This window comes from Homo sapiens, chromosome 16, assembly GCF_000001405.40.
Source record: "Homo sapiens chromosome 16, GRCh38.p14 Primary Assembly".
Lineage (NCBI taxonomy): Eukaryota > Metazoa > Chordata > Mammalia > Primates > Hominidae > Homo > Homo sapiens.
This window is the reverse complement of record NC_000016.10, coordinates 5,024,844-5,040,834: the sequence shown is the minus strand read 5'-3', so window position 1 is coordinate 5,040,834 and position 15,991 is coordinate 5,024,844. Positions and strand designations below refer to the sequence as shown.

General features: G+C 52.9%; 1 protein-coding gene and 1 long non-coding RNA gene across 2 annotated transcripts in view, besides 4 other annotated features; one reads left to right on the top strand and one right to left on the bottom strand.

The window, feature by feature from the left end:
- Positions 1 to 7,133, bottom strand: part of NAGPA-AS1 (NAGPA antisense RNA 1) — a 9,270-nt gene extending 2,137 nt beyond the window's left edge. Inside the window, exon 1 of the long non-coding RNA NR_038913.1 lies at positions 6,774 to 7,133. This is a non-coding gene — a long non-coding RNA (NAGPA antisense RNA 1). The remainder of the gene's footprint in view (positions 1 to 6,773) is intronic.
- Positions 6,789 to 6,968: an enhancer, noted in NCBI's record as "active region_10347". NCBI's record gives its function as "activates an Ori minimal core promoter by ATAC-STARR-seq in GM12878 lymphoblastoid cells {active_cell/tissue: GM12878}" and the evidence as "EXISTENCE:reporter gene assay evidence [ECO:0000049][PMID:35858748]".
- Positions 6,900 to 15,991, top strand: NAGPA (N-acetylglucosamine-1-phosphodiester alpha-N-acetylglucosaminidase). Its single transcript, NM_016256.4, has 10 exons — positions 6,900 to 7,006; positions 7,107 to 7,562; positions 8,951 to 9,090; positions 10,342 to 10,450; positions 11,827 to 11,955; positions 12,650 to 12,855; positions 12,942 to 12,989; positions 13,456 to 13,557; positions 13,637 to 13,700; positions 15,150 to 15,991. The coding sequence occupies exons 1-10, from the start codon at positions 6,921 to 6,923 to the stop codon at positions 15,355 to 15,357; spliced, it is 1,548 nt and encodes a 515-aa protein (NP_057340.2). The 5' UTR covers positions 6,900 to 6,920; the 3' UTR covers positions 15,358 to 15,991.
- Positions 7,162 to 7,663: an enhancer, noted in NCBI's record as "H3K27ac hESC enhancer chr16:5083173-5083674 (GRCh37/hg19 assembly coordinates)". NCBI's record gives its function as "activates a minimal SCP1, AML or CMV promoter by ChIP-STARR-seq in naive H9 embryonic stem cells {active_cell/tissue: H9 hESC(naive)}" and the evidence as "EXISTENCE:reporter gene assay evidence [ECO:0000049][PMID:30033119]".
- Positions 11,189 to 12,388: an enhancer, noted in NCBI's record as "MED14-independent group 3 enhancer chr16:5078448-5079647 (GRCh37/hg19 assembly coordinates)". NCBI's record gives its function as "activates an origin of replication core promoter dependent on BRD2, BRD4, P300/CBP and CDK7 cofactors, and independent of MED14, by STARR-seq in HCT116 cells {active_cell/tissue: HCT116}" and the evidence as "EXISTENCE:reporter gene assay evidence [ECO:0000049][PMID:35650434]".
- Positions 15,133 to 15,427: a silencer, noted in NCBI's record as "tiled region #11332; HepG2 Repressive DNase matched - State 12:CtcfO, and K562 Repressive non-DNase unmatched - State 12:CtcfO". NCBI's record gives its function as "represses a minimal TATA promoter and a strong SV40 promoter by Sharpr-MPRA in HepG2 and K562 cells {active_cell/tissue: HepG2 | K562}" and the evidence as "EXISTENCE:reporter gene assay evidence [ECO:0000049][PMID:27701403]".

The following is a 15,991-nucleotide window of genomic DNA, read 5'->3' as shown; positions in this document are numbered from 1 at the left end:
GAGGAAAGGAGGCTTGGGACTTGGAGTTAAATGAGAGAGGGATGGAAAAGCAGGTTCCCCCGGCACAAACCCCACCTCAGGGCTTCATCAAGGCCTTCTTTCCCTGCCCCCCAAATACACACCCCGAGAGAGAGGCCCTCATTGGTGGAAGCACCCAGCCCACGGTGGCTCTATGTGCCCCTGCCACAATCCTTGGTCAAAAGTGCATTCCTTCCGGCTCCCGGCTCAAGGTATAAAATCCTACTGTAAACAAGTAATTCCATTAAGTCATCATGTTCTTAAAGTTTTTCCTTTTTTTTTTTGAGACAGGATCTGACTCTGTCACCCACGCTGGAGTGCAGTAGCATAATCTCAGATCACTACAACCGCCACCTCCTGGGTTCAAGCGGTTCTCCTGCCTCAGCCTCTTGAGTAGCTAGGATTACAGGCACGTGCCACCACACCCGGCTAATTTTTGTATTTTTAGTAGAGACAGTGTTTCCCCATGTTGGCCAGGCTGGTCTCGAACTCCTGACCTCAGGTGATCCACCCGCCTTGGCGTCCCAAAGAGCCGAGATTATAGGCATGAACCAGCATGCCTGGCCCTTTTTTTTTTTTTTTTTTTTTTAAAGAGACGGGGGTCTTGGTGTGTTGCCCAGGCTGGCCTGGAACTCCTGGGCTCAAGCAATCCTCCTGCCTCTGCTGGGATTACAGCCATGAGCCACCATGCCTGGTTGAAAGTGTTTCCTCTTAAGATGTAAATATACACAGGAAACGGAATGAGTTAAGACTTTCTCCATCATGTAGCTTTAGTGTGAAGGAGTTGTGAGAACAGTATCTGCAGAACTGTTGCTTGGAATGAGGTCTGAGAGAGCAAGAGAGGGCGGGGAAGGGATTGGTGAGAGCTGGGGCGAGTTCAAGCCACCCTTTCATGACTGCTTCCCCACTCCCATCTCTCAGTGGCTAAGCTTCTGCCCCCTCACCCACCAGAGCCAGGAAGACTGACTTGGGCAATGTCCCACCAGTATCCTTGCTTTTTCTGGGTCTTCACCTATTCTCTTTCTTTCTCATTTTTTATTTCCATAGATTTTTGGGGAATAGGTGGTATTTGGTTACGTGAGTGGTGATTTGAGAGATTTTGGTACACCCAGGACCTGAGCAGTATACACTGAAACCAATTTATAGTCTTTTATCCCTCACCTCCTTCCCATTCTTCCCCACCCGAGTTCCCAAATTCCACTGTAACTTTTTTTTTTTTTTTGAGGCTGGAGTGCAGTGGTGGTGCGATCTCGGCTCACCGCAACCTCCGCCTGCTGGGTTCAAGCAATTCTTGTGCCTCAGCCTCCTGAGTAGCTGGAATTACAGGCACGCGCCACCACACCCGGCTAATTTTGGGGGTTTTTTTGTTTGTTTGTTTATTTGAAACAGAGTCTTGCTCTGTCCCCCAGGCTGAAGTGCAGTGGTGCGATCTGGGCTCACTGCAACCTCCGCCTCCCGGCTTCAAGCAATTCTCCTGCCTCAGCCTCCTGAGTAGCTGTGACTACAGGTGCACACCGCCACGCCTGGCTAATTTTTTGTGCTTTAGCAGAGATGGGGTTTCACCGTGCTTCCCAGACTGGTCTCGAACTCCTGAGCTCAGTCAATCCACCCAACTGAGCCTCCCGAAGTGCTGGGATTACAGGTATGTGCCACTGCACCTGGCCTAATTTTTGTATTTTTAATAGACACGGGGTTTCACCATGTTGACCAGGCCAATCTCAAACTCCTGACTTCAGGTGATCCACCCACCTCAGCTTCCCAAAATGCTAGGATTACAAGTGGGAGCCACCGCGCCTGGCCCCATTGTATCATTCTTATGCCTTTGCATCCTCACAGTTTGGCTCCCACTTATGAGTGAGAACGTGTGATGTCTGGTCTCCCATTCCTGAGTCACTTCACTTAGAATAATAGTCTCCAATCCCATCCAGGTGGCTGCGAATGCCATTCATTCATTTCTTTTTATGGCTGAGTAGTATTCCATCATATATATATGATGTTTATCCACTCATTGATTGGCATTTGGGCTGGTTCCACATTTTTGCAATTGCGAATCTGCCCCCACCCCCAATCTGGTTAAATTGGATTTGTCCTTTAAGATTCCCCGTGATTGGCTGGGGGCAGTGGCTCACACCTGTAATCCCAGCACTTTGGGAGGCCGAGGCAGGCAGATCACGAGGTCAAGAGATTGAGACCATCCTGGCCAACCAACATGGTGAAACCCCTTCTCTACTAAAATACAAAAATTAGCCGGGCGTAGTGGCACACACCTGTAGTCCCAGCTACTTGGCAGACTGAGGCAGGAGAATGGCATGAACCTGGGAGGCGGAGCTTGCAGTGAGCTGAGATGGCGCCACTGCACTCCAACCTGGGCGGCAGAGCGAGACTCCGTCTCAAAAAAAAAAAAAGATTCCCCAAGGTTGTCCCTTGTTCTGTGAAGCCTCCTCCCCTCCTCACACCTACTTGCCCATCTCATTCCCTACACTGCTCTGTGGCAGCTCACTCTGGCTTCGTTTGTGTGCTTGTCAACTCTATTTTCAGATTGTGAATGACTTTAGGGCACAGACGATGTCTTGCTCCTCTTCAGGTGCCTGGCTCCTACTATACAGCCTGGAACATAGAAATGTTTAAAAAATATTTGCTGAATTAAATAGAAAAAATGAAGAAAAAGAAAAAAGAGGCACCTGGAGATGTTTTGTCCAGGTCTTAGCTGGTGGAAGGGACCTTGGGCTGTGAGCGTGCTTGAGTCTGGTCTGCCCAGCTGGCAGCCCCCACACCACCCTGCAAGTCCACATGGGATGAGGGGCACCCCTAATGTACCCAACTGGACGTGGGGGCCACCTACCAGACACGCAGCCTATGACAGAATCTCCTGCCCCTCAGAACCTCAACGCCAGTTTCTGGGATGCTGTTAATGCCCTCCCAGCCCTTTACACAACAGATACTATACACAGCACGGACAGAAGAAATTGATCCTTTGACGTTTCCATTTCCTAAGAGTTTTACAAAAATGACTTTCGGGCCGGGCACAGTGGCTCACGCCTATAATCCTAACACTTTGGGAGGCCAACGGGGGTGGATCACTTGAGGTCAGGAGTTCAAGACCAGCCTGGCCAATATGGTGAAACCCTGTGTCTATTAAAAATACAAAAATTAGCCGGGCGTGTTGGCACACCCCGGTAATCCCAGCTACTCAGGAGGCTGAGGCAGGAGAATCGCTTGAACCTGGGAGGCTGAGGTTGCAGTGAGCCAAGATCAGGCCATTTCAATCTACACTCGAGCTTAGGCAACAGAGTGAGACTCCATCTAAAAATAAATAAATAAACTAGCCTGGTGTGGTAGTACACACCTGTAGTCCCAGCTACTCAGGAGGCTGAGGTGGGAGGACTGCTTGAGCCCAAGAAGTCGAGGCTGCAGTGAGCGATGATTGCACCACTGTACTCCAGTCTGGGCAACAGAATGGGATCCTGTCTCTAAATAATAATAGAATTACATAACAAAACTTTTTTGGGTGATAAAAAAAATCCTAAAACTGGATAATGGTGATGCTGGAATATCGCTGTGCATTTACTACAAATCATTGCATTGTACACTTAGGAGAATTTTACAGTATGTAAATTTTATCTTAATAAAGTTTAAAAAAAAACCTTCCAATGGCTTACTATTTCACTTTGGCTGAAATCCATACTCATTTCCCTGGATCCCTGCATGTACGATCTGGCCTTGCCTTGGCCCTCCCACTTCAACCCTGCTCACCACCTCCAACCCCTCCCCCACGGCCCTCCTCTCCCACCAGGTGGCTCTTCCTGCTGCACCTCCCAAGCTGTTTCCCACTTCAGGCTCTGGCCCAGATCTGCACACAGCCGCATCTTTTCTTTCCTTCAATCACAGTCTAAAGGGGCTTGGAGAGGCTTCCCTGCCACACCTGCAACATCCTTCTCTCGCAGTCCTGCCCTTTGCTTCTTGCATTCATCACATAACTGTTTCATGTCTGTTTCCCCTTGAAAAGCTAAGCTCCATGAAGGCAGGGATCAGCTGCAACGGAGCACATACGAGGTGCTCAGCCTGTTGAACACACAAATGATGGTAGAACTCAAATGAGGATGCTAAGAGGGGACAAAAGTATTCCAGGCTGAAGAGCAAAAAAGAAAACCCTTGGCTTCTTAGCAGCTTTGGCTAGAACTGTGGATATGGGCTGCTCTGTTCAAATGCAGAATTTCTGTGGCACCCGTTATGTGCTTAGAAAAACTTGGCAAAGGAGTAGCAAACCTCAAAGTAGGGAGAAAACCAAAGTCAGAACTTGCCAAAGACTGCCTGTTCCTGCAACTCCTAACTGAGGCAGAAAAAAAGAGCGCTTCCGGAGGCAGGGAGTAGGCGTCAGGCCTGGGCTCCTCTGCTGGTTATTTTTAGCAGCCCAATGCAAAGCTCAGAAAGATATACTCCCTTCACATCAATATATTGGTCATTTAAGCCTCTAGGAGGAGCAGTCATTTTGTACATGGTTAAAGTGAACTAGGAGCGTCAGAGCTGTTCCCGGGACCCCTTTGAGGTCCCTGAATTGTATTAGTTTCCAAAAGCAAGGCATCAGCATGGCCATGTTCTCTGTCAAAGCTCAAGAGTCTCTCCCACGCCTCTCTCCTAGCTCTTGGTGGCTGCTAGCCTTCTTTGCATTCTTTGACTTATGACTGCATCAGTCCAATCTCTGCCTGTGTTCATATGAGCTTCTTTCCTCTGTGTGTATTTGTGTCTTTTACAAGAACACCAGTCAGATTGGATTCAGGGCCCACCCTACTCCAGAATGACCTCATCTTAACTAATTACATCTGCAAAGACCCAATTTCCAAACAAGTTCACATTCTGAGGTTCTGGTAAGGACATGAGTTTGGGGGGACACTCTCTAACTGAGTTCACTAACCCTCACCGTGGACTGGCTCAAAGGAGCAGTGGCTCAAAGAGGGGCCTGAGATCAAGCACCAGAAGTGCTGACTGTGGATGAAAAGGGGCTGGCCTGGCCCCTATCTGTGTCCCCCCATACCTGTGGTAGTGAGGGAGAAGGAAAAGAAAAATCCGTTGGGGAAAATTCTGACCTCAGAAGTGGCCTGCCTGAAAAGTCATAGAAACTGGCAAAAATAAAGCAACCTGGGAAAAAACTCAGGCTGGACCTGCACGGAGATAAGCAGACAGGGTCCAGCGCAGAAGCCCTTTGTTCTTTGCATAATTAGCAGGCTCCCGGGAAAAAGTTTCCTCTCCTTTTCAGGCATATACACAGTGGGCTCCATGGAAACCGGCACAGGGAGGAGGGGGCCTTATCTAAAACAAACCCACAGTTACACAAACAAGAGAAGCAGCGATTTGCACTTGCCTAGAGACATACCCACAGCTGCATAACATAAGGGGAGCTGCACAGGCAGTTTTACTGGTAAGAAGTTACTCAGTTACCAGGAGGAGAGCAGTGTCCTATAAAAGTTTTTTGCGGCCAGGCACAGTGGCTCACGCCTGTAATCCCAGCACTTTGGGAGGCGGAAGGAGGCGGATCACCTGAGGTCAGGAGTTTGAAACCAGCCTGGCCAACATGGTAAAATTTCGTCTCTACCCAAAATACAAAAATTAGCAGGGCGCAGTGACGTGTGCCTGTAATCCCAGCTACTCGGGAGGCTGAGGCAGGAGAATCATTTGAACCCAGGAGGCAGAGGTTGTTGAGGTTGCAGTGAGCCAAGATCGCACCATTGCACTCCAGCCTGGGTGACAAGAGCAAAACTCTGTCTTAAAAAAAAAAAAAAAAAAAGCTTTTTGCATTCAGCTGTAACCCGACAATCCACTCGGACTCCCGTCTCCACTTTGGAGAGCTTTCTTCTTTCCCTTATTAAACGTTCGCTCCAACCCCACCCTTGTGTCCACGCTCCTTAGTTTTCTTGGAGGTAGGACAAAGAACCCCGGGACTAGTTCAGACAAGGAGAAACTGCTATATTAAGGTGCACTGGCAAGACCGCAACAGTATCAAGCCAATTAGACTTGCCGTGGCTCCTGGAATGGCCCACGCACTGCACTGGCACCAAGACACCACCCAACCCTGGACACTGCACTGGGACAGGAGGCCTGAAGAGAAGAATCCTCTCAAAGGAAGCTTGAAGTACATGCTACAAAATAAACTGGCTTCTATACTCAGGGCCAGCTTCATGGGCTCACTCAGAAGGTCCCTGGCTTGCTGCAACCATTTGCTCTGACCATCTTGAAATTCTTAATAGTTTTCTGGGTTTTTTAGTAAGTGTCCCCACGTTTTCATTTTGCATTGAGTCACACAAATCATGTAGCTGGGCTGTCTTCAAAAATGTCAAGGTAGTAAAAGACAAAAGGCTGAGGAGCCTTCCAGATGAAGAGATCAAAGAGACATGACAACTAAAAGCAACTCCTGGGTTACAGGGTCAGGGGCGGACAAAAAGGAAAAGAAAAAAAAAGACATTAGAGGGACAATTGAAGGTTAGCTGTGGATGACATCACAGAAATGTCAATGGGAGTTGTCCTAATGATATTTGCCCTGTGGTTAAGAAAATGCCCTTGTTCTTAGGAGATTCATGGCGAGGTATGGGGTAAAGGATCATGACATCTGCAATTTGGTTGCCATTGGTTCAGGAAAAAAAAAAAACAAAGTACAAATGATTGAGTAAATCAGGCAAGCCTAAACCACTGCTAAACATGAATAACAGTTCTACGAGAGTTCTTTATGCTCTCCTTGCAACTTCCTGTAGGTTTGAGATTACCTGGAGATAAAAAGTTAACATCACCAGCACCGCCCGCCAGCCCGCCAGCCGAAAAGAGCGCAGGTAATTCAGTCCGAGCTGAAAGCGGCCACCCTGGGACTTGAGTCACGTGAGGCGAGCCCACATGACCCGAGGCCCCGGTCCAATATGGCGACCTCCACGGGTCGCTGGCTTCTCCTCCGGCTTGCACTATTCGGCTTCCTCTGGGAAGCGTCCGGCGGCCTCGACTCGGGGTGAGTGCAGCTCCCTGGGCCAGCCTGGTTCGGGGGGTCCCCCCTGTCCTCCGAGCTCACGAGGACAGCCCCCTGAGCTCACGGCCGCCCGTCCCCGCAGGGCCTCCCGCGACGACGACTTGCTACTGCCCTATCCACGCGCGCGCGCGCGCCTCCCCCGGGACTGCACACGGGTGCGCGCCGGCAACCGCGAGCACGAGAGTTGGCCTCCGCCTCCCGCGACTCCCGGCGCCGGCGGTCTGGCCGTGCGCACCTTCGTGTCGCACTTCAGGGACCGCGCGGTGGCCGGCCACCTGACGCGGGCCGTTGAGCCCCTGCGCACCTTCTCGGTGCTGGAGCCCGGTGGACCCGGCGGCTGCGCGGCGAGACGACGCGCCACCGTGGAGGAGACGGCGCGGGCGGCCGACTGCCGTGTCGCCCAGAACGGCGGCTTCTTCCGCATGAACTCGGGCGAGTGCCTGGGGAACGTGGTGAGCGACGAGCGGCGGGTGAGCAGCTCCGGGGGGCTGCAGAACGCGCAGTTCGGGATCCGCCGCGACGGGACCCTGGTCACCGGGTGAGGAGGCAGGGAGCCCCGTGCTGTCGAGGGCAGAGGGCCTGAGATTTGGGTTGTAGCCGTGCCTCCGTGTTCAAGTCACTTAACCAAGCTGAGCCCCTGTTTCCTCCTCTGCAGAATGGGGATAGGAATCGCTTCCTTGCAGAGTTTATTCATCATCCAGTATCATTGAGCACTTGCTTGTATCAGGCAATGTGCCGCGCCCCGGTGAGATAGCCGTGAACAACACAGTCTTTGCCTTAACAGCCCTCCCCCATTACTAGAAAAATCAACAAAAGCCGGGTAAATAGCTAACATACATTCTGATTGCTGTGTGTGCAGCAAAGCAACCAACGGGGTGAACCCGTTGTAAATAGTGTTGATTTTAGGGAGGGTGATCTGGAACACGCCTCTCCGAGGTGACCTTTGAGTGGGAACTTGAAGATGAATCACTAAGTGAGCCAAGGTCAGAACTGGAGGAAGAGCGTTTCAGTCCAAAGGAACCCCACGCACAAAGGCTCAGAGGCTCAGGGGGGCTTGTGTGTATGAGGGACTGAAAAAGGAGTGGGGTGTCAGAAACATCAACTCATCAAGACTGATGATTTTTTTTTTTTTGAGACAGAGTCTTGCTCTGTTGCCCAGGATGGAGGGCAGTGGCATGATACCGGCTCACTGCAACCTCTGCCTCCCGGGTTCAAGCGATTCTCCTGCCTCAGCCTCTGGAGTAGCTGGGACTACGGACGTGTGCCACCACGCCCGGCTGATTTTTGTATTTTTAGTAGAGACGGGATGGGGTGGGGAACGGGGGAGTGGGTTCACCATATTGGCCTGGCCGGTCTCGAACTCCTGACCTCAAGTGATCCACCCACCTCAGCCTCCCAAAGTGCTGGGATGACAGGTGTGAGCCACCACGCCCTGGCAAGATTGATGATTTGAATTATTTAAAATTATCTTAAAAATTATTTGAGTCTCAAAAAAAAAGTATTTGTTGATGATAAAGCTTGTTCTGATCCTGAGTGGGACCAGGTGGGAGAGAGCAGTGGAGAAACAAGGAAGCCAATGAAGGGCCGTAACAGGGATCAAGTGGTAGTTGGGCTGGGTATGGCCTGGGGATTGAGGGCCATAGATGGATTTGAGCTCTGTTGGGGGATGGTCATTTCTGTTAAATGAAACAGACTGTTTGCAAAGGCTTGTGGGGATTGTATTGTCAGAACCCTGTCCAGCTTCAGCTCTGACAACAGGGAGATTCCTAGGGCTGTTAAGTTGTCCCAGCTACACTCAGGCCCCAGGAGGTTCCTGGGGCATGAGGGGGAATCTAGCAGCCAGGTTGGGATGGCTAGGGAGAAAGAGCCTGACTATCTGCAGTTGCCCCTGCTGGTGAGTGAGCTTCCCACCTTCCCCGGATCCAGGTACCTGTCTGAGGAGGAGGTGCTGGACACTGAGAACCCATTTGTGCAGCTGCTGAGTGGGGTCGTGTGGCTGATTCGTAATGGAAGCATCTACATCAACGAGAGCCAAGCCACAGAGTGTGACGAGACACAGGAGACAGGTTGGATGGGGAGGCTGTTGGCAACAACCCTCTCGAGAACCAGGACCAGTGGGCTGGGCGGAGCTGTTCTTAAGTCTTTCAACAAGTATTGAGCAGCTACTTTGTGCCCAGCACTATTCTGGGTACTGGGGATTCATGGGGAGGAAGATAGGCTTATATTGAATATATAGGACAAAAAATAGTTATAGAATATGCTGAAAAGAATTGATAAGTGCTCAGAAACAAAAATAAAGTTAGGGGAAAGGGGAGAGATGGGGACCGGAGCTGTGGGTACAGGAAGAGAAAAGTGAAGAGAAAAAAATCTTCATGGACCTGCAACATCGGCGTGGCCCAGGAGCTTGTTTCAAAGCCCCACACCCTCAGACCTGCAGAATCAGAGGCAAGGCCCAAGAGTCTATGTTTTAACGGGCCTCCATGGTGACTCTGACCGACACTCAAGGTTGAGAACCACTGGGATGCAGAATACTGGGATGGGGACAGGATACCATGACCATTTTAGAGTGGGCAGTAAGCTAGGTGTGGTGGCTAACACCTATAATCCCAGCACTTTGGGAGGCCGAGGCGGGAGGATCGGTTGAGCCCAGGAGTTCAAGACCTGCCTGGGCAACATAGTGAGACCTATCTCTACAAAAAAAAAAAATACAAAAATTAGCCAGGCATGGTGGTGTGTGCCTGTAGTCCCAGCTACTTGGGAGGCTGAAGCATGAGAATTGCTTGAACCTGGGAGGTGGAGGTTGCAGTGAGCTGAGATCATGCCACTGCACTCCAGCCCGGGCAACACAGCGAGACTCTTTGTCTCAAAAAAAAAAAAAGAGTGGGCGGTCAAGGAAGGCCTCACTAAGGAGGTGATCTGACAAAGGAGCAAGCTAGAGAAAAGCACAGTTCCCAGCCAGAGGGAACAGGAAGTGCAAAGTGGCTGCAGGGTGGTGAGGGGACACCCAGGAGCTGAGGCAGGAGGAGGAAGAGGCTGGGGAGGGCATGCTGGCTCTTTGGATTTTGTTCTAAGAACAGGGGAAACCATTAGAGGGTCTTCACCTGGAGGCTGGCATAGCTTGGTTTACCTGTAAGAAGAGACCCCCCGGCTGCCCTGGGGAGACTGGGATGTGCAGAGGGGAGGCAGGGAGACGAGCAAGGAGGCTGCTGTGCTTCCCAGGGAGGTACCAGGTAGCTCAGACCAGTGGGAAGTGGAGTTAGGCAAGAAGCAGGAGGCCTCCCAAGGGGCGGTGATCAGCCAGGCTGCTTTTCCTTCAGGTTCCTTTAGCAAATTTGTGAATGTGATATCAGCCAGGACGGCCATTGGCCACGACCGGAAAGGGCAGCTGGTGCTCTTTCATGCAGACGGCCAAACGGAGCAGCGTGGGTGAGTCCTGGGAGCTGAGGCCCCCCGGCCGGGGCTCAGTCCTGCTAGGAGGAACGTTGACCCAATGACAGCCACCCTCTGACTCTACCTGCTTTCTGGGATGTTGACACCTATCTGTCCCCCCTCCCAGGGCCCCCTCACCTTCCCACAGGATGAGGGTTCTGAGATCTTTGCCGATTCCAAGAACTCATCATCTTCAGCTTTAGGCCTCACCTTTCCTGAACCCTAGATAGGATACAAGGAAATGGTCACAAAGTGAGCAGGGAGAAGATCTTGGTTCCAATCCCAGCTTAGCCATCGATGACTTGTCTACCCACCTATGCCGTAGACAAGTCCCTCGGCCTCCCTGAGCCTCATTTCTAGCCCCTGTAAAGAGAGTGTTTTGGTTTGCTCTGGTTGCATAACCAGCACAAATTTAGCAACACTCAGCAGGGAATGTTCTTTTGTTTGTTTGTTTCTTTGAGACAGGGTCTTACTCCGTCGCCCAGGCCAGAGTGCAGTGGTGCAATCTCAGCTCACTGCAACCTCTACCTCTCAGGTTCAGGTGATCCTCCCACCTTAGCCTCCCAGGTAACTGGGATTACGGGCACCCGCCACCACACCCAGCTAATTTTTGTATTTTTAGTAGAGATGGGGTTTCATCATGTTGGCCAGGCTGGTCTCGAACTCCTGACCTCAGGTGATCCATCTACCTCGGCCTTCCAAAGTGCTGGAATTAACAGGCGTGAGTCACCGCACCTGGCTAATTTTTGTATTTTTAGTAGACACAGGGTTTCATCATGTTGGCCAGGCTGGTCAACTTGGAATGTTCTATGTTCAGGGTGTCCCATGGACAAAACCAAGATGCTGGTTAGGCAGGGCTCTTCTCTTATCTGGAAAGAATCCTCTTGTTTAGGTTGTTGGAAGAATCCCCGTCGCCTCCTCAGTTGTGACTGAGGTCTTGGTTTCCCTGCTGGCCGCCATCTGGGGCCTCAGCTCCTTCAAGCTGCCCAGGTTCCTTCCCATGTGTGTCCTCTCCCCCAGTTGTCCGGCCACCCTCTCATCCCCCTCGTATTTCAAATCTCACTTCCTATTCTGTCACCAGCCAGAGAAGGCTCTCTGTGTTGAACACTCCTGTGATTCCAGTGGCTGCACCCAGATCCTCCGGGCCGTTTCCCCTCCCTTAAGGATTCCTATGCCATGTAACAGCACAGGCATGGGTGTGATCTCACGTGTTCACAGCTTCCGGGGGCTAGGATGAGACATGCTTGGGGGCGGGGGCCACTTAGAAATGTGCCTGCACTGTGGGCGTGATGCTCTGCACTGTGGAAGGAAAAGGAGTTAAATGAGAAATGATGGTGGGCGCTGAGCCTGAGCAGCGCCGCTTTGTGCCGCAGCATCAACCTGTGGGAAATGGCGGAGTTCCTGCTGAAACAGGACGTGGTCAACGCCATCAACCTGGATGGGGGTGGCTCTGCCACCTTTGTGCTCAACGGGACCTTGGCCAGTTACCCGTCAGATCACTGGTAAGCACGTGAGAGCCGCCTTCGTGAGGGCTGAAGTCCAGGTCTGCCCCAGCCTGTCTCATTCAGCCAATATTGAGTGCCTGCTATGTGCCAGGCCCCGGGGGTTCAAGAGAGCAGAAATTGCTGCAGTCCCTCCCCCAGGATGCCAGTACTACCCAGGCCTAGGAGCAGGGTCAGTTGGTCAGCAAAGACCTCCCTGAGGATGACAGAATAAGAACTGAGATCTGAAGGAGGTGGTAGCTGGGTGGGGGTGGGAGAGCCTTCCGGGCAGAGGGCACCACATGTGAAAGGCCCAGGGCTGGGAGGGATTGTAGGGAGCGGAGGAACCTATAAAAGACTGGAGAGGGCTGGGCACAGGGGCTCACGCCTGGAATCCCAGTGCTTTGGGAGGCCGAGGTGGGAGGTTCGCTTGGGCCCAGGAGTTTAAGACCAGTGTGGGCAACATAGACCCTGTCTTTATGAAAAAATAAAAAAAAATTAGGCAGGCGTGATGGTGCACACCTTACGGTTACAGCTGCTCAGGAGGCTCGGGTGGAAGGATCGCAATACCTCATCTCAAAAATAGATAGACGCCATCTTGTAGGTAGGTAGGTAGACAGGTGAGAATGGAGAGAGGGGTGGTTGGGGGCAGCCTGGAGGGAGTTGAGGGGCCGTCTGGGGGTGTCCTCTCCTCACACATCACATCCCTCTACAGCCAGGACAACATGTGGCGCTGTCCCCGCCAAGTGTCCACCGTGGTGTGTGTGCACGAACCCCGCTGCCAGCCGCCTGACTGCCACGGCCACGGGACCTGCGTGGACGGGCACTGCCAATGCACCGGGCACTTCTGGCGGGGTCCCGGCTGTGATGAGCTGGACTGTGGCCCCTCTAACTGCAGCCAGCACGGACTGTGCACGGAGAGTGAGTGGGGGTTCTGGGGAGGGGGCTCTGCCCAGCCCTGCCTTGCCCTAGGCCCTCACCTGGCCTCCCCGGTCTTGTCTCGGCAGCCGGCTGCCGCTGTGATGCCGGATGGACCGGGTCCAACTGCAGTGAAGGTAGGAGCTGCCACGCCACTAGCGGATGGGGAGACGGTGGCCCCCGGCAGCCCCCACTGCTCCTCTGCTGCTTCTGTCTCCACCTTCTGGTCTGGGAAATGCTTGCCTCTTGTCTTCTGCCCCGGCCTCACCTGCACATCACTGTGTGACTCCCCTGTGGCTGCTGCGGCCCGTTCCACAAAGGGCTCGGCTAAAACAAGGGTCCCCGGGCTCTGGCTCCAGGGCCCACCTCAAATCCAGCACGGTCTTATCTTGAGATCCTAACTGCAGTGCCTCTGTAGAGATTCTGCTTCCAAATAAGGTCACGTTCAGGGGCTAGTCCAGGGAGGGCAGGGGGTGCTTCACCTTTAGCCCGGCTCTGTACACATGGGCAGGGGCAGGTATCCTGTCCTGTCGAGAAAGGCTCTGACACTGGAGGCCCCAACCTTTCTCCTCCCTCCTCCCTCCTCCCATCTCCTTTCCATAGAGTGTCCCCTTGGCTGGCATGGGCCGGGCTGCCAGAGGCCTTGTAAGTGTGAGCACCATTGTCCCTGTGACCCCAAGACTGGCAACTGCAGCGTCTCCAGAGGTACCTATCCCTCCAAGGGGAGGGGTATGGGCAGACGCTCCTGCTCCGGCCCCTTCAGCCTGTCTCTGGTATGTTACAGTAAAGCAGTGTCTCCAGCCACCTGAAGCCACCCTGAGGGCGGGAGAACTCTCCTTTTTCACCAGGTAGGTGCTTCTGTGGGAGCTGGGGCCAGGGCGGGAGGAATCCCCCTTCTCTCCCGCACCCTTCCCCTGTGAGGTCCATCTCTGCCCTTGTCCCCTGCCAGCTCCCTGCCTTAGAGGAAGCGGGACCAGCTCTCCCCACTGTCTGCTTTGGGGACCCTGGAGCAGAGCCCAGGGCCTTCGAGTGCCCAGCCTCTGTTGTCAGCATCCCCCACTGGAGCTCAGAATGCAAACTGGGCTAGATGAGATCCCAGGGTGGGGGCAGGAGGTTTCCTCATTCTGTCACCCAGGCAGAAGTGCTGTAGTACAGTCAGCTCACTGCGATCCTCCCGCCTCAGCCTCCCAAGTAGCTAGGACGACAGGCACGTGCCCCCATGCCCGGCTAATTTTATTTCTTACTGTTTTTTAGAGATAGGATCTCACTATTTTGCACAGACGAGGTGCACAGTCCTGGGCTCAAGTGATCCTCCCACCTTGGCCTCCCAGCCCCCATGCCCAGCATCCAGCTGTGTTTTATTTGGCTTACATAATTTTTAAAAAGTTAAAATATATCAGCAGCATCTAAAAATCAGTAACATTCACATTTTTTTAAACTTTTTTTTTTGAGACGGGGTCTCACTCTGTTGCCTAGGCTGGAGTGCAGTGGTGCGATCTCAGCTCACCACAACCTCCGCCTCCTGGGTTCAGGCAATTCTCCTGCCTCAGTCTCCTGAGTAGCTGGGATTACAGGTGCCCGGCTAATTTTCATATTTTTAGTAGAGACAGGATTTCGCCATGTTGGCCAGGCTGGTCTTGAACTCCTGACCTCAAGTGATACGCCCGCCTAAGCCTCACAAAGTGCTGGGATTGCAGGCATGAGCACCACGCCCAGCCTTAAAAACCTTTTTAATGGCTTCTCTTAAAATATCAGGCCAGGCGTGGTGGCTCACGCCTGTAATCCTAGCACTTTGGGAGGCCGAGGCAGGTGGATCACTTGAGGTCAGGAGTTCAAGACCAGCCTGGCCAACATGGTGAAACCTGGTCTCTACTGAAAATACGAAAATTAGCCAGGCGTGGTGATTCGAGCCTGTAGTCCCAGCTACTCGGGAGTCCAAGGCAGGGGAATCGTTTGAAGCCAGGAGGCGGAGATTGCAGTGAGCTGAGATCATGCCACTGCACTCCAGCCTGGATGACAGGGCGAGACTCTGTCTCAAAAAAAAAAAAAAAAAATCAGGAGATGGGGCAGCACGGACCTGCATTGTACGTCATGACTGCCTCTGCTGTTCCCTGCACATGTCTTAAATGTTGCCCCATCCCCACCTAGTCCATTTTGCTCATAACATTCCCTGTGTGGTCCCTGGAGGCACCTGATTTAGTGCTATCTATGCCGGGTAGAGGGAAGCCCCTCCAGTGCTACCCAAGCCCTGAGCCCACCCAGCAGTCCCCCACTTGGGGCTTCTCTCCTGTCTGCAGGACCGCCTGGCTAGCCCTCACCCTGGCGCTGGCCTTCCTCCTGCTGATCAGCACTGCAGCAAACCTGTCCTTGCTCCTGTCCAGAGCAGAGAGGAACCGGCGCCTGCATGGGGACTATGCATACCACCCGCTGCAGGAGATGAACGGGGAGCCTCTGGCCGCAGAGAAGGAGCAGCCAGGGGGCGCCCACAACCCCTTCAAGGACTGAAGCCTCAAGCTGCCCGGGGTGGCACGTCGCGAAAGCTTGTTTCCCCACGGTCTGGCTTCTGCAGGGGAAATTTCAAGGCCACTGGCGTGGACCATCTGGGTGTCCTCAGCCCCTGTGGGGCAGCCAAGTTCCTGATAGCACTTGTGCCTCAGCCCCTCACCTGGCCACCTGCCAGGGCACCTGCAACCCTAGCAATACCATGCTCGCTGGAGAGGCTCAGCTGCCTGCTTCTGGCCTGCCTGTGTCTGCTGCCGAGAAGCCCGTGCCCCCGGGAGGGCTGCCGCACTGCCAAAGAGTCTCCCTCCTCCTGGGGAAGGGGCTGCCAACGAACCAGACTCAGTGACCACGTCATGACAGAACAGCACATCCTGGCCAGCACCCCTGGCTGGAGTGGGTTAAAGGGACGAGTCTGCCTTCCTGGCTGTGACACGGGACCCCTTTTCTACAGACCTCATCACTGGATTTGCCAACTAGAATTCGATTTCCTGTCATAGGAAGCTCCTTGGAAGAAGGGATGGGGGGATGAGATCATGTTTACAGACCTGTTTTGTCATCCTGCTGCCAAGAAGTTTTTTAATCACTTGAATAAATTGATATAATAAAAGGAGCCACCAGGTGGTGTGTGGATTCTGAA